The 23,366-nt window shown below is 34.4% G+C and overlaps 1 protein-coding gene across 3 annotated transcripts in view; it reads left to right on the top strand.

Annotated features, from left to right (window-relative positions):
- Positions 1 to 23,366, top strand: part of NDST4 (N-deacetylase and N-sulfotransferase 4) — a 285,858-nt gene that overhangs the window by 140,149 nt on the left and 122,343 nt on the right. For all 3 annotated transcript variants that reach the window (XM_017008545.3, NM_022569.3, XM_017008546.2), the window contains one exon: positions 2,888 to 3,042. In XM_017008545.3, the coding sequence (XP_016864034.1) occupies positions 2,959 to 3,042 (84 nt within the window). In that variant the 5' untranslated portion in view covers positions 2,888 to 2,958. The remainder of the gene's footprint in view (positions 1 to 2,887; positions 3,043 to 23,366) is intronic.

Genomic DNA, 23,366 nt, shown 5'->3' with positions numbered 1-23,366 from the left:
TTAGAAGTGAAAGGTTTAATTTGAGCACAGATATTTTAATGGTCTGTAACATGCTAATCTGGTCACATATAAACTGCAAATGATATTTCCACATATAATTTAAGTATATATTAGGTACAGAAAAATAAATGTGCTAATCTGGTCACATATAAACTGCAAATGATATTTCCACATATACTTTAAGTATATATTAGGTATAGAAAAATAAATGCGCTAATCTGGTCACATATAAACTGCAAATGATATTTCCACATATAATTTAAGTATATATTAGGTACAGAAAAATAAATGTTTACAGGAAGTCCAAAATGTAATACTTTCATCTAGTTGGATTTGAAATCATTTGAGATTCTGCTGCTGTCCCTCAGTATGGCTTAGTATCATATTTTTTATTAAGCTGTTTCCAGTGTCAAAGGTTTGCCTCATGTGGCTTTGAATTATATGACCAGCATAAAACAAGAGAAAAGCTGACAAAAATTAATCCATGATGCAAACAAAAGGAAAGTCTTAAACGTTACTCTCAGCTTTTTTGAGGGTGTTTATAAATTAACATAATCTCTAATATAAAAATTGCTAAGATTTTATGATCAGTCATGCATCTGTTTCTATCAATAGTCCACAAAATTTTCTTTAAATTGAGTAATTGACCTCCTACCTGGTCAAGTGTGCATTATGTGCTTCCTGCCACTTGCAATAATGATCAGCAGAGTTTAAAATGAATGGAAGCATTTTTCAAACACTCTGTATTCAAAGCACACAAGACAATTCCAGGAGGGTGGGAGAACTATCAATTCTTTCATCATATGTGACATAATGTAACTCTTTCTAATCTGTGCCTCAATTTGCTAAAATATGACCATGAGAAACATATAAACACCTCATCTGAGGAAGTGGTAAACTCTTCTTCTTTTGAATTTTAATATTTCATATTCTTAATATATTAACAAAAGTCAATGAATTATGAGTCAGTAATACTAACACTGTTAGCTAAAACAAAAATTAAGAAATCCTCTGCTCATCTTAATTATAGGACTTTATTACTTTCAAAATTTCTAATAGTAATAGAATTTCTTAACTCTGTGTAGTAGCATTGAAGGTGCCAAAGCCCTAATTAAACCTGAAGGTCCTTATACCTTTCAAAGATTATGAATTATGAACTCTATTCCAGGAACAGTGAGTATACATAAAAGAAAGAAGTTGCTATATACTTTGGTGGCCATGTGAAGCTGCTTAATCTACTGACTTTGTTAAATATAGACTAAATTAAATTATTCATTTATTCACTGCTCTGGGTAAGTGGCGTGTTACAGTACAAGGTAAAGGGATCCAGTCCCTGACTGTAAGAAATTTATAATCTACGCAGGCAAAGTTTCTAAAACAGTGTGAATACATATAAATTCAAAACACAGCAAATACAAAGCAATAGATAGAATTTTTAAGGTATATTCAAAAAGTGCTTACTACTTGCAAGTAGCAATATTAAGTGCTTTAATAAATTAATCTCATCAACTCTTCACTAAGACCCTGTAAAACAGGTATTTATAATCCTATTTTAAAACAGGGAACTAAGACCTAGAGAGGTTAACTTGTCCAAGATCACATAGTTAATTAAGTGGCAAAACTAGGGACTCTGCTCCAAGTACTGAGTGACACCAAATACATGCTTTAATCCTTTCATGGAGCTACTCTCATGACCATGGAAATCTTTAAGACACACACATGGAACATTCAGAGAAAATCCTTATAACCATCTTTAATATTTATTCCCTAAATTTAAGTAAAAAATAAAAATAAAAAATCAAACATCCATCTGTAAAACATATTCTTTTGTGAGAGAATAAACCAAATAATACAACCCACACTATAAGCCAGGACTTATTCTCTTATTTACACAGTTAAGTAGTAAGAGAGCAAGCAGGAATTAATTCTTATGTTATCGATTCACAACATTTGTAAATTCAGCTGTATATAGTAAAATTGTACAAAATCATACGAAAACTCTATCATTTCATTTGTGGATATTCTTGGATAGCTGCAATATAATTAATTCTCTTAGAAGTAAGTTTTTTTTTTCTTAACTGTGGCATAACAATGTTTTTTGTTTTTATTTCCTATGTATTGGGTGCTGTTAACAAATTTTCCCAAAAGAAGAAGAGAAAGTGATACTAGTTTTAAATTCTCAAGTCACACATATTATAAACAATTATCAGATCCATTGTTTAGTTTTTATGAAATATTTATATTAAAATGGGAAATTTGATATGTATAACATTAAGTGAAAAATTTAAGCATGCAAAAATATTAGTACAGCAAGAGCTAAACTTTTAAAATATAAGTAGAAAAAGATTTTTGAAAATAATACAAAAATGTTTTTACTGGTTAGCTCTAGAAGATGGTCTTACAGGTTTTTTGTTGTTGTTTTTGTGTTTGTTTTTGGGCTTTGTGTATTACTTGCCTGTGCTTTTGACATTTCTTTAATAAACATATATTATTTATGTAATCAGAAAAAAATTAACAAATGTTATGAGTTAAAATTTATGTCCAATTATTTGAGAATTACCCTTAACATTTAAGGGTAAAAAATATATGTTAGGGTATAAAATACATATAAGGGTATAACATATATGTAAGAGTATAAAATACCCTTAAATTCTAAATTAAACAACTGTCTGACCTGGTGCCAGCCATGCCTACTCACCCCATCCTAATCCCAAGTCCCTTTGCCTTTGATTCATTTTAGACTGTGGTCTTTTATTCTGATTTAAAAAGCCCACAGAATTGGATATATGTATCAGCAGCATGAAAAATTAACATAAATCTGACAAAAATAACCTTTAAGATAGTAAGAAATTTTCACTAAAGTTATTTTTAACTTTATGTTTTAAAGGGACTGAAGAGGAAGATGAAGGAGATGACCTTTTACTTCGGTCTGTGGATGAGTTCTGGTGGTTTCCTCACATGTGGAGCCACATGCAGCCCCACCTCTTCCACAACGAGTCATCTTTAGTAGAGCAGATGATTCTCAACAAGGAATTTGCACTGGTGAGCACATTTTATTGTGGTATCTTTTGAACTATAAGTTGTGATCTTGTGGTGGAAGTGTAAAATTAATGTATTGGGTTGAATATGATAGAAATAGAATAAAATATAATATCAGGGTGCATCACATGTATTGAGGGTACATATAACTTTGTGATATTTTGTTTCAGGCATGTGTGTATATGTAAAGGACCATTATGTAATTATATAGAAAATATATTTCAAAAAGTAAGTTATTTTCAGAAAGCTTTCAACTCCTATTTTACGAGATGACTACTCTTGTATCTATGAAGATGAAAAAATAGTACAACTTTCATTCTTGGTGCAATATAATTAACCATTCAAAAATAATTTATTGCTTAACATCACTAATCATTAGAGAAATACAAATCAAAACCACAATGAGATACCATCTCATTCCAATCAGAATAACAGTTATTAAAAAGTCAAAAACAACAGATGTTGGCAAGGTTGCAGAGGAAAAGAGAACACTTACACACTGCTGGTGGAAATATAAATTAGTATAGCCATTGTGGAAAGCAGTGTGGCAATTTCTCAAAGAACTTAAAACAGAAGTACCATTTGATTGAGCAATCCTATTATTAGTTATATGCCAAAGAAGTATAAATGCTTCTACCATAAAGACGCACACACATGTTCATCACAGAGCTATTCACAACAGCAAAGTCATGGAATCAACCTAAATGCCTATCAACAGTAGATTGGATAAAGAAAATGTGGTCCATATATACACCATGGAACACTATGCAGCCATAAAAAAGAATGAGATTATGTCCTTTGCAGCAACATGGATGGGGCTAGAGGCCATAATCCTAAGCAAACTGACACAGGAACAGAAAACCAAACACTGCATGTTGGCACTTATGAGTGTGAGCTAAACACTGAGTACACATGGACACAAAGAAGGGAACACCAAACCCTGGAGCCTGCTTGAGTGTGGAGGGAGAGGATGGAAAAACTACCTGTCTGATACTATGCTTATCGCTTGGGTGACAAAATAATCTGTACACTGAAACTCCATGACACAATTTATCTATATCATAAACCTGCACATAGCCCTGAACTTTTTTTTTTTTTTTTTTTTTTTTTTCTTTTTTTGAGACGGAGTCTCGCTCTGTCACCCAGGCTGGAGTGCAGTGGCGGGATCTCGGCTCACTGCAAGCTCCGCCTCCCGGGTTCACGCCATTCTCCTGCCTCAGCCTCCCAAGTAGCTGGGACTACAGGCGCCCGCCACTACGCCCGGCTAATTTTTTTGTATTTTTAGTAGAGACGGGGTTTCACCGTTTTAGCCCGGATGGTCTCGACTATTTTTTAAATAATAGTTTAAAAAATCATTTGTTGCAAGAATGAAGGAAGAAATGAATGAGTTGAATGTTTGGAGCCATGACTCTAGACCAGTGGCTCTCATATTTTAGTGTGATCTATTTCACCTAGAAGACTTCTGAAACACAGACTGCTTGGTCCATTAGCACAGTTTCTGATTCAGTAGATCTGCAGAGAGGCCTGACAATTTGCATTTCAGAAACTTCCCAGATGATCCCCATGATTCTACACTAAGAATCACTTGCTCTAGACGAGGGGCTGGAAAATTGTGACCTTTAAGCCAATTCTGGAGTGCTACTTGCTGTTTATGATCCCTGACCTAAGAAAGCCTTTTTTAAAAACATTTCTTAATAATTCAAATCAAAAGTAAGCAATCAAAGGAACAGTGATATTTTGTGGCATGTAAAAATTATATAAAATTTACATTTAAATGTTCATAAATAAAATTTTGTTGGAAGACTGCCACACTCATTCCTTTACGAATTGCCTGCAGCTGCTTTCACATTGCAATGGCGGAGTTGAATGGTTGTGAAAGAGATCCTATGGTCCACAAAGCCTAAAATATTTTTATCTCAATCTTTACCAAAAAAAAGTTTGCTCATCCCTGCTCTAGACGTTAATTAAGCCATGTATTCCTTTAAGAATCTAACAAAAGACAGAAACATTTTCCCTTGAAAAATGCTCAGATGCACATTCTCACATCTTCACCCAGTGGGACATACAATCACAAAGGGTTTGTGAATCCAGCAAAGACCCTAGTTCCTAGTTAGGAACTCCTAACTTAAACTGTTGTGATTCATTAGTACTGTGTGATTTACTGATATTTTCGTTGTTTTAAGCCATCTTTGGAAGCATAGCGCAAGTCAAATTAATACTATGATATGTTACAAAGTTATGCCCAGTTGTTAAGCTAATAGCTCATCACTCTTTGAGTCTCTAAATCCCCAGACCAATGTCAGATCTGCACACAGGATTCTTAGTAGTAAATGTAGAAAACATAAAAAGTAGTTAAGATCAAGGACTCAGGCACCAGATTATCTGTTTGAATCCTCACCTTCCATTGATGGTTGCTTGACCTTGAACAAATGACTTAGATTCTCTATGTCTGTTTCTCCATTTATAAAACTGAGATAATGGTAACAACTACCTCATGGAATTGCTGGGAGGATATACATAATGTGCTTAGAGCAGCGGCTGGCACACAGTAAGCATTCAATAGTGTTAATTAACCAATTATGACCTTTCTAAATACAGAGGAGCATGCAATTACATCTTGCTTTTAAAACACCTAATTTTTTTTAAAAAAAATATGGATTTACAAGGGGTCATTTTTTACTTAACTTTTAGGAAATGTCTCATAAATGTGGTACTGCTTCATAGCATTATAAAATTAAGTAAATCTTTTCCATTTCAAAAATAAACTTACCTTGAGTAAGCATGCTAAATTCTCTCAGGACACTTACCTTGAAAATAAAACATGTTTATCACCTGTCTTAAACTTCCCCCACTTCATTCCACTACACTCCTACTCTAGAGCCTTGCGTTTTAGGGATATAGGTTATATTTCATAATGGTTGATTTCACCTGTTTGTGTAATTTCTTTTTTAAGAGCCATGCTGAGAGCTCTGAGAAGACTCAGATGTAATTGCTTTGTAATGAAATGTTGAAAGCTATTTAGAGTCCATTCAGAGTAATTACATTTGTTTAGTCAGCGTGGCTAGAAACTACACTTATTCCTATAAATATATTGTGTAAAAAATCTTATTGTATTTTACATAGTCCAAATATTACGACTAAAATGAAGTCCATTAAACATATATCATACTGAAATGACACTGTCCTTTTCCTTCTGGAGTTCAGCTCAATAAAACTCAAGACTCTTCAAGCAGTGACATTCAGAACCCCACCTTTATTGTCAACATAACATGACAATATGTGTGCTATCCAGAGAGCCAAGAGATATATCTCTTTCTTATTAAATTATTATCTTTTCACATCCAGCTGACACTTTAGAGCCATCAACAGTATCAAGATAGGATAGGATAGCAGAAACACTAACTGGATATTGGTGGAGTAAATTTTAGTCTTGACTGCTAGTAACAAGTTCTGATAAAATTGGCAACTTATTTAATGTCTTTATATCTCACTTTCCTCTCTCGAAATAGTAATGACTTGCTCTTTCATTCTCTAAACTACAAAGTTTTTAGATAATTAATTTACATCAACTCATTTGCCAACCAAAGGCACTGGACCAGATAATGCTACTGATCAATTTCAGTTTTAAAATTCTGTGATCATTTGTGGATTACATCGGTCCACAAATTTGGAATGAACATCATGAAATCCTTATCTAGCTGGAATTGAAGCAATTATGAGAAAATATTTTCAAACTAAATGAACAATTCATACAGATAAAAATCAAAAGTCTTTAAATCCTTTTTTTAAGTTCTATTCTGACATTCCTCATTATCCCTTGATATGACCTTGGCTGTCAGAGGGATTGTCAGTCTCAAAAGCACACTTGTTCTCATAGCAGTTCCAAAAATGATTCAAACATATTCAGATATATTAATAGCTTGATATTGATATTTCAAAAATTGTATTTTTTAAATACAATCTATCTGAGTAGTTTCATTTGTGGAATTTCTCTGAAATGTTTCCGGATGGAGTTTGTTTTCTCTTGTAATATGTTTAAAAATCATGAGAGAAACACATTGCCACATTTCATCATGTTGGAAGAGACTTTATTAATATAAAACATTGTTATTGTTATTGCTTCATCCATACACACACACATATGCCATGTGAATATGTATATGCATGTGGGAGTTATGTGTATGTATATGCTTAATCCATGAGCACCAATGTATGCAGTGGGGGTGTACATGTGTGTGGATGTATTATGCTTACTCCATGCACATATATGTCATGTGTATATGTGTGTGTTTGTATACAGGATCTTAGTCTAATGACAAGCATAGTCAACCGAAATATGGCAGTTACAAGATACCCTTCTTAGTATGGCAGTAGGGTGGAGAAAAATACTTTTTGGTTCTTTTTCCTTCAATAACTCATAGATCTTTGCTGCTATTCAGTTGCTTGAGTACGTCAATAAATAGATGCAAAGCTTCAATAACAACAATAGATGAATGAAGGCTAAAGAGAACTAGAAACACTGGCCAACATGAAAGCACTAATAAAAAAAATTACCAAAACTTATTCCCAATTTAACCTACAGCTATTTTCCAGCCATAGAAAGAAAAGTGCATATACCATACACTGAACTGTTTACCTTTATTCCACAATAGACTGGAAAAAAAAGTTTAAAAATTGTATTTTGTTGTTTTAAGTTTTACATATAAACTCATTAAAGTTTTCAAGCCAGTAGGGCTTTTCAGTTCACTAATAGTTGCAGACATGAAATATCCTGAAGGGGTAAGTATCAAGTTTTTGTCCTTAATATTGACATTTTCAATGATGATGTGAATTTTACTTGCTGTGTTATTGAGCAGTCTGGTATCATTTTCATGACTAAGTGAAGATTCTTGAAATAAAGACATAGGATTTTAAATTCTGATTTTAAAAAGCTACACATATTTATGAAATCTATATAACTTTTTTCATAATTACACAATATACATTAAGTAAAAAATGCTGACATTTAAATTGTTCTCATAAAAACACAAATCTATTAAAGAGACACTATGGAAAATCCTTAAGTGTCATAATAGGCTGCACACTCAATCAGCTATGTATGTGTCATATTAAAAAGAAATAAAGTAATATGATAACAAATTAATAGTATAATGAAATGAAACTGAGAGAGAGCTTCCTTTCAATGTTGACAATGCTTTACAGTATTTTTACTGGATTATCCAGTTTACAGCCTTGTATTATGCCACAAATGCAGAAAAAAACTGATAATAACTTATAGGGTATTTAAAGGTAGGGAATTTAGAGAAGAAAAGGATATTTACACTAAAACAAAATTGTGAACAAATATGCAACAAAAATTCACAATGAATAAATAGTGTATTTTGGAGGTTCAATAACAAATAAAAAAATCTTTACACTCAAGAGTGGATCCACATGTGCAGGAAAGATTTAATCACAGTAATAAAAAACCCTGAAGCACCAAGGCATTGAAAAAAGAAGGAAATTCTGTAACACGTGACAACATGGATGAACCTTGTGGGCATTATGCTAAGTGAAATAAGCCAGTCACAGAAAGACAAGTACTGCATAATTCCACTTATATAAGGTATCTAAAACAGTCAAATTGGTAGAATCAAAGAGTGGAATGGTGGTTTTTAGGGACTGAAGGAAATGAGAAAAGACGATTTAATAATCAAGGGGCATTAAGCTTTAGTCAAGACGAATAAGTTCTAGAGATCTGCCATACAACATTGTGTTTACAGCCAATAATAATATTGTGTACTTAAAAATTTGTCAGAAAGGTAGATATCATGTTAATTGTTCTTACCACAATAAAATAAAATAATAAAACATTTTTTGGAAATTGAACAAGATCTTGAGGTATCATATGGAACACCTGCCAATTTAGTACAAATTTCTATGTAAATTACTTCAGTAATTGAGTGCATTAGTTAACATTCAGATATCTTAGATATTGTTTAATAACAAGTTACTTAGACTATAAAGACCTAAAACACACTTTAATTATTTAACAGTTTATGAAGTCAGGAAGTTGAGTATGAAATAACTGGATCCTGCAGTTCAGGATTTCTCACAGATGTCAATCAAGGTGTCAGCTGAGGTGGCAGTCATTTCAAGGCTCAACTGGAGGGTGGACCTGCTGCCAAGCTCACATGGTTATTGGCAAGATTCAGCTCCTCACAAGCTGTTGGATTGAAGACCTCAATTTCCCACCAGCTGCTGCCTGGGTCTGCCCTGTGTTCCTTGCCATGTGGGTCATTCAGGATGGCAGCTCACAACACAGTAATTGGCTTCATTAGAGCTAAGGCTCTGAGAGAGGAAGAGAAAAAGAGACAGATTGATTCAGAGTCTTTTATTATATAAATATCAGAAGCAATACCTCTTCACTTATACCATATACTCTTCAGAAGAAGCCAGTCACTAGGTCTAGCACACGCTCAAAAAGAGGGAACATAAACAATAAAGGGAATATCAGGAGACAGCGATAACTAGTTGGAAGACATTATAGAAGCTGCCTATCACATCTAACTAGAAATAAGAAATACAGAGGATCCTGTGTGATATAACTCACACTTACTATTGCATTAATTTCAAAATATTTGCGTATTAACTAAAACCTAATATTTTTCTTCAAGGTTAATGTCAATTACATCCTTCAAAGCCATAAATATTGAATTCATCTATTACCTTTCTTTCTCTCATCTAATCCGTTGCCTCTAGTTGAAAATGTATTTAGAACTGACTAATTTGACGTCTTACCACTTCTACTATCAATCAACTTAGTGCAAGTTACCATTGTATCATTTTAGCAGCTTTATTGATATTGGTATTAACATATCATAAGGTTCACCCACGTAAAGTGTAAACTTCAATGGTTTTCAGTGTATTCACAGATCTGTGCAAACTAATCATAATTTTAGAACATTTTCATCAACTCATTTTAAAAAAGTACCCTTAGCAATCACTTTCCATTTCTCCCCACTCCCTCAACCTAAGCAAATAACTAATTTACTTTTTGTCTTCACAGATTTGCTTATACTGGACGTGGGATATAAGTAGAATCATACATTACATGGTCTTTTTGACTTGATTTTTTCACTTAGCATAATGTTTTTAAGGTTCAAACACATTGTAACATATATCAGTACTTCATTCCTTTTTATTGACAAATAATGTCTCATTGTATGGCTCTATCATATTTTCTTTACCTATTATATATCCATTCCTTATCAGTTCATAGACATTTGGGTTGTTTTGGGGTTGTTTCCACTTTCTGGCTAGTTTTTATAATGCTGCTATGAGCATTCAGGTGCAAGTTTTTGTGTGGAGATATGTTTTTATTTCTCTTTAGTATCTACCCAGAAGTGGAATTACTGGGTCACTAACTTTATGTTTAACATTTTGATGAATAGCCATGCTGTTTCCAAAGTGTGAGCACCATTTTATATTCTACCAGCAATTCATGAGTGTTCCAATTGCTCTCACCAACCCTTGTTATTATCTACCTTTATTATAGTCATTCTAGTGGGCGTGAAGTGGTTCTTTTCTTTCAAGATGATTTTGACTATTCTGGGTCTTTTGAATTTCCATATGAATTTTAGGATCATCTTATCAATTTCTGCACAATAAACAACTGGGATTTTGACAGTGATAGCAGTCAATCTGCAACTCAATTTGGGAAATACAGCTCTTACCAATATTAAGTCTTCTGATACATGAACATGGGTTGTCTTTTCATTTATTTGGGTCGGCTATAATTTCTTTAAACAATATTTTATAATTTTCAGAGTCTAAATTTTGAACTTCTTTGATCAAATACAATCCTAAGTATTTTAATCTTTTTGATGCTATTATAAACAAAAATCTTTTAAAATTCCAATTTTATATTGTTAATTTTTTGTATAGAAGTACAATTGATATTTGTATATGGCTCTTGTAACATCCAAACCTCCAAATTTGCTGAGCTCATTTATTATTTTTAGAGTTTTTCAGTGGATTCCTTAGGATTGTCTATGTATAAGATTATGTCATGTGCAAATAGAAATACTTTTACTTCTTCATCCTCAATCTGGCTATATTTTATTTTATTTTATTGTCTAATTGTCCTGACTGTAACTTTCAGTACAATGTTGAATAGAAATGGCAAGAACAAATATCCTTGTTTTATGCCTGGTCTTAAGGGGAAAGTATGCAGTCTTTCGCCATTAGGCATGATGTTAGCTGTAGATTTTTCATAGATACCTATTATCAAGTTGAAGAAGTCTCTGTTTCTGTATGTATCTGCATGTATTTTTATCATAGAAGGATGTTGGATTTGTTACATACTTTTTCCTCCTTTATTCTCTTGATATGGTATATTACTCTAATTGATTTTTAGATGTTAAGTTAACCTTGTATTCCTATGATAAATCCCACTTTGTTATTGCATATAATCAGTTTTGTATATTATTGAGTTTGATTGCTAGTGCCTTTTTGGGTATTTTTTAAACTCTATTAATAGAGATACTGGTCTGCACATTTCTTTTTCTTTAGACATCATTGTTTGGCTTTGATGTCAGGGTGATACTAGCCTCATGTAATTAATTGAGAAATATTCTTTGCTCTTCTTTTTTTATGTATAAAGGGAAGAGAAGTCACAAATTACAAGCATTAATTATTTTTTGTATGTTTGGTAGAAGTCACCTGTTCCTTGCTTTTATTTGTGTGAAGTTTTTAATTTACTAAGTCATTCAATTTACTTGTTATAAGTCTATTTATATTTTCTATCTCCATTTGAGTCAATTTCAGTAGTTTGTGTGTGTCTAGACATTTACTAATTTTATCTAAGTTATCAAATATTTGGCATAGAATGTTCATAGTATTACCTCATGGCAGTTATTATTTGTATAAGGTCAATAGTGTTGTCTCCAGTTTCATTATTGATTTTACCAGTTTGTGCCTTTTCCCCCACTTGGTCTATCTAAAGTTTTTCCAATTTAGTTGATCATGTCAAATAACCAAATTTTAATTTTATTGTTTTTCTCTATTGCTTTTCTCTTCTCTATTTCATTAATTTCTGTTCTAATCTTTATTATTTCTTTCCTTCTAATTGCTTTATATTTAATACGCTTTTTTTCAATGTTTTACGGAGAAATAATAGGTTATTGACTTGAAAGCTTTTTTATTTTTAATAAAGGCATTTTACAGCTATGAATTTCCCTCTAAGCACTAATTTTGCTGCTTCCTCTAAGTATTAGTAAGTTGGGTCTTCATTTTTATTCATCTCAAAATATTTCCTAATCTCCCTTGTGATTTATTCCTAGTGGCTGCTTAAGAGTTTCAATATACATTTTAACTTCTCAGAATCTTTTTCAATTTCACAGTGGCTTTTCCAGTGAAGTATAGAAACATTATATTTACATAACTCTATTCCTCCCTCCTTCCTTCTTTATTATTGCACATTACATCCATATATGTGACAAATTCAGCAATACATTGTTATAGTTTATACTTTATATAATTTTATGTTTTTAAAACTTGAAATAAGAAGGCAGAGAAAGTATATATTTATAGGTTTCTACACAAACTTTCTTCTATGACATTTTTCTACTCTTCATTTGTTCTTGTAAATTTAAATACTATTTGGTGTTACTTCCTTACTTCAATATGGCTTTTCTCCCACCTGTCTTTTTTCTGCTGTTATTAAAAATATACTGCATTTACACTTGTTATAGTCATAGCAATGAAATTATATGCATATTATTTTCTATCATTGCTTTTTAAATCTGATGAGAAGAGAAAAGAAATATATATACCGTCTTCCATAAATACGTAATTACCTTTACCAACATTCTTTATTTCTTTCTTTCTTTTATTTTTTTTTTCTGCAACCTCTGCCTCCTGGGTTCAAGCAATTTTCCTGCCTCAGCCTCCTGAGTAGCTGGGATTACAGGCACCTGCCACCACACCCAGCTAATTTTTGTATTTTTAATAGAGACGGGGTTTCACCATGTTGGCCAGGCTGGTCTCAAACTCCTGACCTCATGATCTGCCCGCGTTGGCCTCCCAAAGTGCTGGTAATACAGGCATGAGCCACCACACCCAGCCTTTATTTCTTTATGTTGATTCAAATTACTCTCTGTGGTTATTTGCTTTCAGTCTGAAGAACTACATTTGTAATTTCTTGTAAGAGAGGTTTGGCAATGTATTCTCTCAGTTTTGATATATCTGTGAATGTATTTATTTCACCGCTATTTTTGAAAGATAGCTTTGCTAGATATACAATTACTGATTTACTATTTTCTTTTTTCTTTCCACTTCCTTCTGGATCCCACAGTTTCTATTGAGAAGTGAATAGTTAATTTTGTGTTTCACTTCTATGTGATGAGTTCTTTTGCGACTTTCAAGATTTGCTGATTGCCTTTGTTTTCAAAATTTTTATGATGATATATCTGCATATGGATTTCTTTGTTTATTTTAGTTCTAGTTCACTGAGCTTCTTATATGTGTAAATTAATAATTTTCACCAAATTTGCAAAGTTTTTAGGAAATAATTTTTTGAATACCCTTTGTGTTTCTTTTTCTCCCTTCACTCTTTTGATAATCCCATCTGACATATATTGGTACATTTAATAGTGTCCCACATTTCTTTGAGGCTCTGGTCATTCATTTTTCCTACTTTTTTCCTCTTTATTCTTTAGTTGCATAATCTCATAATCGATTTTCAAGTGTGCTAAATTTTTCTTCTGTTAGCTCAAATTTCTTGTTGAACCCTGATATGGTTTGGCTGTGTCCCTACCCAAATCTTGTCTTGAATTGTAGCTCCCATAATCCCCACGTGTTTTGGGAGGGTCCTGGTGGGAGGTAATTGAATCATGGGGACAAGTTTTTCTTATGCTGTTCTCCAGACAGTGAATAAGTCTCATATGCCCTATTGCCTGCCACCATGTAAGATGTGCCTTTGCTCCTCCTTCACCTTCCATCATGATCATAAGGCTTTCTCAGCCATGTGAAACTGTGAGTCTATTAAACCTCTTTTTCTTTACAAATTACCCCATCTTGGATTTTTTTCATAGCAGTATGAAAATGAGCTAATACAGTAAATTGATACCAGTAGAGTGGAGTACTGCTAGAAGTATACCCAAAATTGTGGATGTGACTTTGGAACTGGATAACAGGCAGAGGTTGGAACAGCTTGGAAGGCTCAGAAGAAGAGATGAAATTGTTGGAAATTTTGAAACTTCCTAGAGACTTGTTGAATGGCTTTGACCAAAATACTGAAAGTGATCTGGAAAATGAAGTCCAGTCTGAAGTGGTCTCAGATGGAAATGAGGAACATGTTACAAACTGTAATAGAGGTGATTTTTGCTATATTTTAGGAAGAGACTGGGGACATTTTGCCCCTGCCCTAGAGATCTGTGGAACATTGAACTTGAGAGAGATGATTTAGGGTCTCTGGTGGAAGAAATTTCTAAGCACCAAAGTGTTCAAGAGGTGACTTTGGTGCTTTTAAAATCATTCAGTTTTATTCATTCACAAAGATATGGTTTGGAATTGGAACTTATATTTAAAAGGGAAGCAGAGCATAAAAGTTTAGAAAATTTACAGCATGACTATGCAGTAGAAAAGAAAAACCCATTTTCTGAACAGAAATTCAAGCTGGGTGCAGAAATTTGCATAAGTAACAAGGAACCAAATGCTAATCACCAAGACAATGGGGAAAACGTCTCCAGTACCTGTCATGGCAGCTCCTCCCATCACAAGTCATGAGGCATAGGAGGGAAAAATGGATTCCTGGACTGGAACCAGGGCCTTGCTGCTTTGTGCAGTCTGGGGACTTAATGCCCTTTGTCACAGCCATTGCTAAAAGGGGCCAATATACTGCTCAAGCCGTTGCTTCAGAGGACGAAAGCCCGAAGCCTTTGCAGCCTACATGTGGTGTTTGATGGAGATGATTGGTCTCAGATGGAGATGTGGAACATGTTACAAACTGTAATAAAGGTGACTCTTGCTACGTTTTAGAAAGAGACTGGGGGTCTCAGATGGAGATGAGGAACATGTTACAAACTGTAATAAAGGTGACTCTTGCTATGTTTTACAAAGAGACTGGTGGCATTTTGCCCCTGCCCTAGAGATCTGTGGAACTTTGAACTTAAGAGAGATGATTTAGGGTCTCTGGTCAGGAATTAAGTTTTGGGAACCTCCACCAAGATTTCAGAGCATGTATGGAAATGCCTGGATGTCCACGCTGAGGTGTGCTGCAGGGGCGGAGCCCTCATGGAGAATCTGCTAGGGCAGTGAGGAAGGGAAATGTGAGGTGGGAGCCCCCACACAGAATCCCCACTGGGGCACTGATTAGTGGAGCTGTGAGAAGAGGGTCACCATCCTCTAGACCCCAGAATGGTAGATCCACCAATGGCTTGCACCGTGCACCTGGAAAAGCCACAGACACTCAAGCCAGCCAGTGAAAGCAGCCAGGAAGGGGGCTCTACCCTGCAAAGCCACAGGGACAGAGCTGCCCAAGACCATGGGAACCCACTTTTTGCATCAGTATGATCTGGATGTGAGACATGGCATCAAAGGAGATCATTTTGGAGCTAAAATTTGATTGCCCTTCTGGATTTTGGACTTTCATGGGCCCATAGTCCCTTTGTTTTGGCCAATTTCTCCCATTTGGAACAGGTGTGTTTACCCAGTATGTGTATCCCCATTGTATCTAAGAAGTAAATAATTTGCTTTTGATTTTACCGTCATAGATGGAAGGGGCTTGCCTTGTCTTAGATGAGACTTTGGACTGTGGACTTTTAAGTTAATGCTGAAAGTAATAAAAACTTTGGGGGACTGTTGAGAAGGCATGTTTAGTTTTGAAATGTGAGGACATGAAATTTGGGAGAGGCCAGGAATGATTTGGTTTGGCTGTGTCACCACCAAAATCTCATTTTCAATAATGCCCACCTGTTATGAGAAGAACCCAGTGGGAGGTAATTGAATAATTGAATCATGGGGTTGGGTCTTTCCCATACTATTCTTTTGATAGTGAATAATCTCATGAGATCTGATGATTTAATAAAGGGGAGATCCCCTACACAATCTCTCTTGCCTGCTACCATGTAAGATGTGACTTTGCTTCTCCTTTGCCTTCTGCCATAGTTGTGAGACCTCCCCAGCCATGTGGAACTGTGAGTCTATTAAAACTCTTTTTCTTTATAAATTACTCAGTCTTGGGTATTTCTTCATAGAAGTATAAAAATGGACAAATACAAGACCTGTAGTAATTTTTATTTCAATAATTGCACTTTTCATCTCTAGAATTTTTATTTGACTCTTTATTAATATTTCTATCTCTATTGATATTCTCATTGGATGAGATATTGTCATCATACCTTTGTCTATGTCTTCAGGCCTAGTTTGCTTTAGTTCTTTGAACAAATTTGAAATCTTTGTCTTCTATGTCTGGCACCTTGGCCCTTTAGAGGCAATTTCAATTGCTCGCTTTATTTTCCTGTGGATGAATTACACCATCCTGTTTCTTTGTATATCTTGTATTTTTTTAATGGACATTTTAGATAATTTTGGCAGCACTCTTCACACTGATCCCTTCCCTCCATGTTAAGGATGTATTTTTGTTGCCATTTAGTTATTTTTTAAATGGAATGGCTGGATAATTTAAGTGACTCTTTCACTTGAAGTGTGCAGCCTCAATGTTACTCCTCATAGGGAACATAGTCACTCTTGGACAATAGTGGTTTTAGCATGGCCTTCTTTGACTGTCTTTCCTGATGTTTTTGTTAAGCTGTCTGCCTCTCGAATAGAGCTTAGTCAGAAGTGAGCCTATACTAATTATCAGCTGTATACTTGATTGCTTTTGACAAAAGGCACTCAGATTATGAGGCTTTTACTGACCCAAAGAGTGTTCCTCTTAGCTACCTGTTTATCTGGTTCTCTCTAGATAGAAAGTTTCTATTTAGTCAATGATTCACTTGTTTTCTATCTTAATTATGATAACAACAGCCTCCTCCTTACTTGCTTACTGTTAAAATCTCTACTGTTTGAGAGTGAGCTTAGGCTGAAAGTTCTTCACACTGTGTCTCAAATAAAGTGTTTCCTTGGGGAGAACATTGCAGATCTCTCTTCTTGAGACCTGCCTCTCTCCCTGAGCAAAACCTCTGTGCCACTGCTCAGAGATAAAGGTAACTACAATTGTCTACTTCTCTCAAAGTAACACCCAGATTCATAGGCGGGGTCCTGGGTTGGGGTAGTAGCCCCTATTACTCTCCGATTTCCTTTCCTGGAATGGAATCAACACTCCACAATTGAGATGAGGCAAGGGAAAATTAAAATTACAGTATTCTTGGCCTTCTGCACTTAGAGTACAGCTTCTTTTCTATGAGTGGGGCTGCATAGTGGAGGAAAACTCCAGGTCTCAAATTTGCTGTTAACTAGAATAGAACTTCTGCATACAGAGATGCGGAGAGGAGAAATGCCGTGGACTGCCATTTCCAAGGAGAAATCATAAGCCTAGACTTGACACTACAGAGAGATGTAGCCCTATGTTCTTGGCTACACTTACCCAAGGTAAGAATTCTGTTACTCTAAACTGGGGCAGGAAGAGAAAGGAGCAGGTCATGGCTCACATGCCATCGACTCTCACTGTTCTTACCATTTGTAGTAGATTTTCTTGAATAAATGGTTTTGCATGGGTTATATCCCCTTGGTTCACTTTCCAGATATTTTTAATGTTTTTAAAATAATTTTCACCTGTTATGGGTGTCTCACTTGGAGATGGTCCACAGAGCTCCTCATACCACCATTGCACAACTCTGCATCCTACTATTCTTTCTTGACTAATTTATGGCAGCAGCATCTTTATTGCTTTTAATTTCCACTCTTGGCCTTTTGAGTCCATTCTCAGCAAAGCAGCTACAGTGATCCTCTTAACATGTAATTTAGATTCTGTCACATTTTGTCTCAAAGCCCTCTAAGCTAACTTAAGATAGCCCACAAGCCCCTAGCAACTGGCCCCTTGTTTCACATGCTGTAAGCTCCCCTCTGGCTTTTTTAATGATTGGTACTTGGATGTTTTCAGTGTGCCTCCGTTCCTGTAGTTGCTACTTACTCATTGATGACTACAGTCAATCCGCACTGTTGCCATTCTTGTGTCATGGTCTTTCTCCTGGTTTGGTGACTCTCACCTTGACCCCAAGGTTCCCCTGAGCTTCCTACAAATTGATGCTGAGCTGCCTCCATCAAGGCTGTACAGTTCTTGAATTTGGAAGTGTTTCCCTTCCTACCATTTTTCATACATGTAGTATGAAAATAATATATGTATTAGTCTGTTCTCCCACTGCTAGAAATACTTGAGACTGGGGAATTTATAAAGAAAAGAGGTTCAATTGGCTTATGGTTCTGCAGGCTTTATAAGAAGCATAGCAGCTTCTGCTTCTGGAGAGGTCCCAGGAAGCTTCTAACCTTGGTAGAAGGCAAAGCTGGTAGTGAGATGTCTTCACATGGTGGGAGCAGTAGCAAGGATGTGGGAGGGGCTACACATGTTCGAACAACCAGATTTGCAGAGAATTCACTCACTATTGCAAGGACAGTGCCAAGAAGGTTAGTGTTAAGCCATTCATGAGAATTGTGATCTCATTATCCAATCACCTCCTACCAGGCTTCATCTCCAACGCTGGAGATTACAATTCAACATGCAATTTGGTGAGAACACAGATCCAAATGATATCACCATATATACACTTTTAAGAACAAATTATAAAAGCCAGGAAAAAAGAATGTTTTAGTAACATTATCTTGTGTCAATTCAAAATTTAACTTTTCCGTATCAAAAAGTTGTTTGGAGAGAGTATAGCTTTTATCTGTTTTTCACAAAATAAGTAAGTTACTTATCTTCTAGTCTTATCTTCCATTTCCTCTTTTCCTTGCTTCCAAAGGATGAGATCATTTTTATTTTATCTCATTTCTCTAATATACCTCAATCCGTTTAATTCATTTTGCTAATACTATGTGCCAAAGTTGCCATCCTGCTTTTACATTTAAGCCTCATGATAGATATGCATCTAGGATTACTAATAATTTCTCCTTCAATGCTAGAATTTCTAGACTGGGCATTCAAATTAAATTTAATTTAAATTAAATCCATCGTGATTTTAGAATTTTTTAAAAGAATCTATTATATCTGGAATTTTTTGAAACAGTATTTTTAAGTCATAAAACAGGATAGGCAAAAAAATTAAGTTTAAAAAAACCAAATAATAACATAAAATATTACTAGCATTTCCCTGGAAGACAGAGCAGTGAAAATTTGCTAAATGTTTAGAAAATGGAGTATGTGAATGATCTTGAATATAGTTAATTCTCTTTATTGGAAATTTGTGATCAGTAAAATAGTCTTAGGGTGGAAGAAAATAAAATCACAGTGGGAAAAATTACAGAGCATCAGCTAGTAAGCTTGAAGCTCATTTATATGAGTGGCTAAATAATTTTGTTACTGCATATAGAACACTTATTTATGGATGGCATTTTATAGCAGTTTAAAAGTATTCTTTTATATCCATGTAGTTAATAGAAATATCTGTTCATCATTATGTCTGTTAATTAGTTTTGCTGTTGATATTAAGTATGCATACATTTCTTATATTATTCAGTATAGAATATTATATTACAATGAATGAGTTAGCCATTTCTCACTTGAAAAGTTCAGCATTTGAGTTATTTATTGTTTTATTCATTTCAGTGAACAACTTCCTAAAACACATAACTTACTGCTTTTAAGTTAATAAATGCATGCCAGGCATCACATCGCATTCACATAGACTAAGTTTTTATCATTCACAAAGACTAAGTTTTCATTGTTAATATGAATGATTTCACTGCACTGTGCTCCTGATGTGTTCTTGGAATCTGCTGATATTATAAGGACTATTTGCTCCTAAACTATGTTCCTAGAGTTTTTGAGCTCTTGTGTCTACTGTTTCTACTTCCTCAGTCTCCTGGTCCAAGTTTGTAAGATTGATAACTTTCTCTTGCAGCCATTGTCATGTTATTTGATTCTAGTAGCCAGATTCTCATTTCAGTAAAAACAAAGTGATCAAACTAGATGACCATCAAAGCTCCTGATACTTCTAAAATTATATAAATCTAAGTTGTTCTCAGTTTCGAAATCAAATGGAGAAAGGTTCTTAGGCTTATTTCTAAAGTGATATTGAAAGGTCTCAATTTTACAAATGAGAAAACCGAGCCCTAGAATTTGTTTATGTGACTTGTGCATAGTCACACAAAGAACTCACAAGCTGCCATGTGTTTCCAGTTGTACCACCACGCAGCACTGCAAAGTAAGAGCTGATGGTCTCTGGGAGAAATGGACAAGGCCTTCCCACAAAAAAAAAAAAAGAAAAAAAAAAAGAAAAAAAATGAGCCAACTTGTGTGCCCGGTTTTCTTAAAGCCTTTTTTGGTCACAGCACAGGTAATTAAAGTAACATATGAATGAATGACATTTGAATAGATGAGTAATTGTTGAAAAACTTACTCACCTTTAGGTATTGAGATCTTATTGCATAAAGCTTAGATTAGCATGGAAAATTGAGGTGTGTAAATGGCATAATGATTCACATATTGAATAACAAGAAAACATATTTTCTATTTCTCTTTCTTTAGGTACCCATTGGCAATAGATAAGGTTTTTACCCATTTTACAAGTAGGATATTGTTTTAAAAATTTCTTAACTGGCTTATTCTAGCAGTCTCCAAGGTTCTCGTCAATTCCTATTTTCACCAAACTTACAACATAAAGGATAGCATGAACTTTTTGCTTGCAAATTAGAATTGGTATTTCATTAGCTATTAATATTCATACTTCTCAGCAATGGATTTAGAGAAAAATGGCTTTTCTTGTCATGTGTTATATCATGGTAAGTCCTTGACTTGCTGGTCTGGTATTGGCAGGTAGATGAAAGAATTTTCCTTAGACAGAAAATCTCTACAATACATATTTATCTATTTGATTTTCCTAGCAGATGGCAATAGCAGACCCTCCCACCCACCAAATAGCTTTTTTCACTGCAGCATCTTTTTCTTGTCAAGCAGCTGTTTTGTTTCTGAACACATTTAACCTCAAAGACATAAATGCCCCCTACAAAATACACTTCAGTATCAAGCAGCAATAATTGAAAAATGAGCTATTTATATCACTCAAAATTCATTAATATTAATCTATCAAGATTTACATCTGTCTTTTCTGGATACCTTGTTATTATTATTTTTGGTAAGTGTAAAGCCTTAAAAATCATTCTTTCTGCTTTACTTGATCATTCTGTAGTCTTATGCTTTTAAATGATTTTCTGAGATTAACTATAAGAACTCCAATTCTTTTCAAATACCTATACATGAAAATTATAACATAGGTTTCCCCCCAGGGGATAGGCTGATAACTAGTTAATGTACTTGGGGATACTTAATTTACTTGCTTTAAAGCAAATTAGTATTTTCTACAACTATTATTTCACTTATTCAGAACAATGGTCTGTGCACAAAATACAAAAGAAGTCATATTTTTCAGAAGAAAACAAAATTTTAGCTACTTTTATACATAAAGGCTCCTCCCTGTGTGATATGAGTTCACATTACATGAGTCCTTACCTAGTTGCTCAGTGTAGAAGTCAAACCCTTGTATTTGGCTTTGGACCAATCTTGGATCAAATTCTGTCTTTGACGATTATTATATGGATGACCTTGGCAAATTACTTAAAATTCCTGTGCTATAATTTTCAAATATGTAAAATAAATATGCCAGTAGTTCCTACCCCAAAGGTTTTTATGAGGATTGGATATTGTGTGTACATGTTTATGTATACATAATTCTTAGCAGAGTAATTGGCACATAAGTGTTTCAAAAGTATTTGTCATCATTATCATTATGGTTATCATCAGTTTTACCATATTTCTTCAAGAAGCATGCTATCATTACTTTTGAAATAAGAGGTTGATGATGCATGAAATAGCCAAATAACTTTTTCAAGGTTATGTAATATTCAAGTTGGAAACAGAAACAAGACATTCTAATTTGCTTTGCAATTCTCCATCTATCCATAACCCCATACTGAAAGTGGTCACAAGTATTTAATAATGAAAAAACTAATATTTTAACAAACATTCCAAGAAAAAAGAACATGGATGATAAAAATTGTATTTTAAAAAGTGAAAAAATTAATTAAAGTGTTCATTCATGTGCATGTGAACACGTGAATCTTTGAAATTATTGTTTTCCAATTATGTCCAAAAATTTACACTTTCAGTGTGAAAACTACATCCCTCCTTTCATTTGTCAGTCCTTTATTTTTTGCTTGTTTCTTCCTTTCAACCTTATTCCCTCCTTCTCCCCTTCTTTTCTTTCCTGACTTCCTTTCTTCCTTTCCTCAACAGACGATGAATATGCATTATCTGCTGAGCAACTTACTTGACACCAGGGATGCAAAAATGATCGAGACGCTGAGATTTTACTTACTTAGTTGATAGGAGAGGGGAGAATGCATGAAGAATAATAGTGACATTTTAGGTTTTTGAGAGAAATGTACAGAACACGGTGCAGCCACAAAAGAGACACTTGTTTGTTATAAGGGTAAGAAAAAAAAATGAACAACTGAGTTGATAACATTTGTGAAAAATAAGTAGGTGGGAATGAGGCAGAAAGCAGGAGGAGAACCCCTAAACAGAGGGAGCAGTAGCAGAAAGAGCACAAGACTATGCCCAATTACTGTACTCTTCCAGTAAAATCCACATAGGTTTAGCAACAACCTGTCTATGGATTGGGAAGTACTGCCTGTGGGATTTAGCCTGCAGTCTGTTAGTGTGTGGTTGGTATGTTAACAGTAAGTTTTACATTTTTACAGAGTTGTAACTACCAAATAAAGAAAGGAAATATGTGACAGAGGCAGTATGTTGCTGGCAACATTTTACCAAACCTTAACTTCCACATGGTTCTGAAGATAGTATAAAAATTGGAATCATAATGATGAACAGTAGTTCATGAATTCTTAGCTAATGCACATTTTTCATCAGTTACTATAGGTGACCTACTATACCCTTAGAAATATGAAATTTATGGACAATAAAATTTTATTTCCAATATTCCTGCCTTAATGAACCTCGGAAAAGTGGATAAAATGTTGAAGAAAGAAATAATAAATCGATTTGGCTCCAGAGGAAGCTTTGTGTTGGGAATTAGGAGAAGATGGAATCAAGTAGCTCATGTGGTCCAGAATATGGAGGAACTTTTTATCCTAGGTGTTAGAGCTTCAGGTACCCTAAATCCAACTGTATA

Source organism: Homo sapiens, chromosome 4, assembly GCF_000001405.40.
Source record: "Homo sapiens chromosome 4, GRCh38.p14 Primary Assembly".
Classification (NCBI taxonomy): Eukaryota; Metazoa; Chordata; class Mammalia; order Primates; family Hominidae; genus Homo; species Homo sapiens.
The sequence above is the reverse complement of the archived record's forward strand: the minus strand, read 5'-3'. Positions and strand labels throughout refer to the sequence as shown.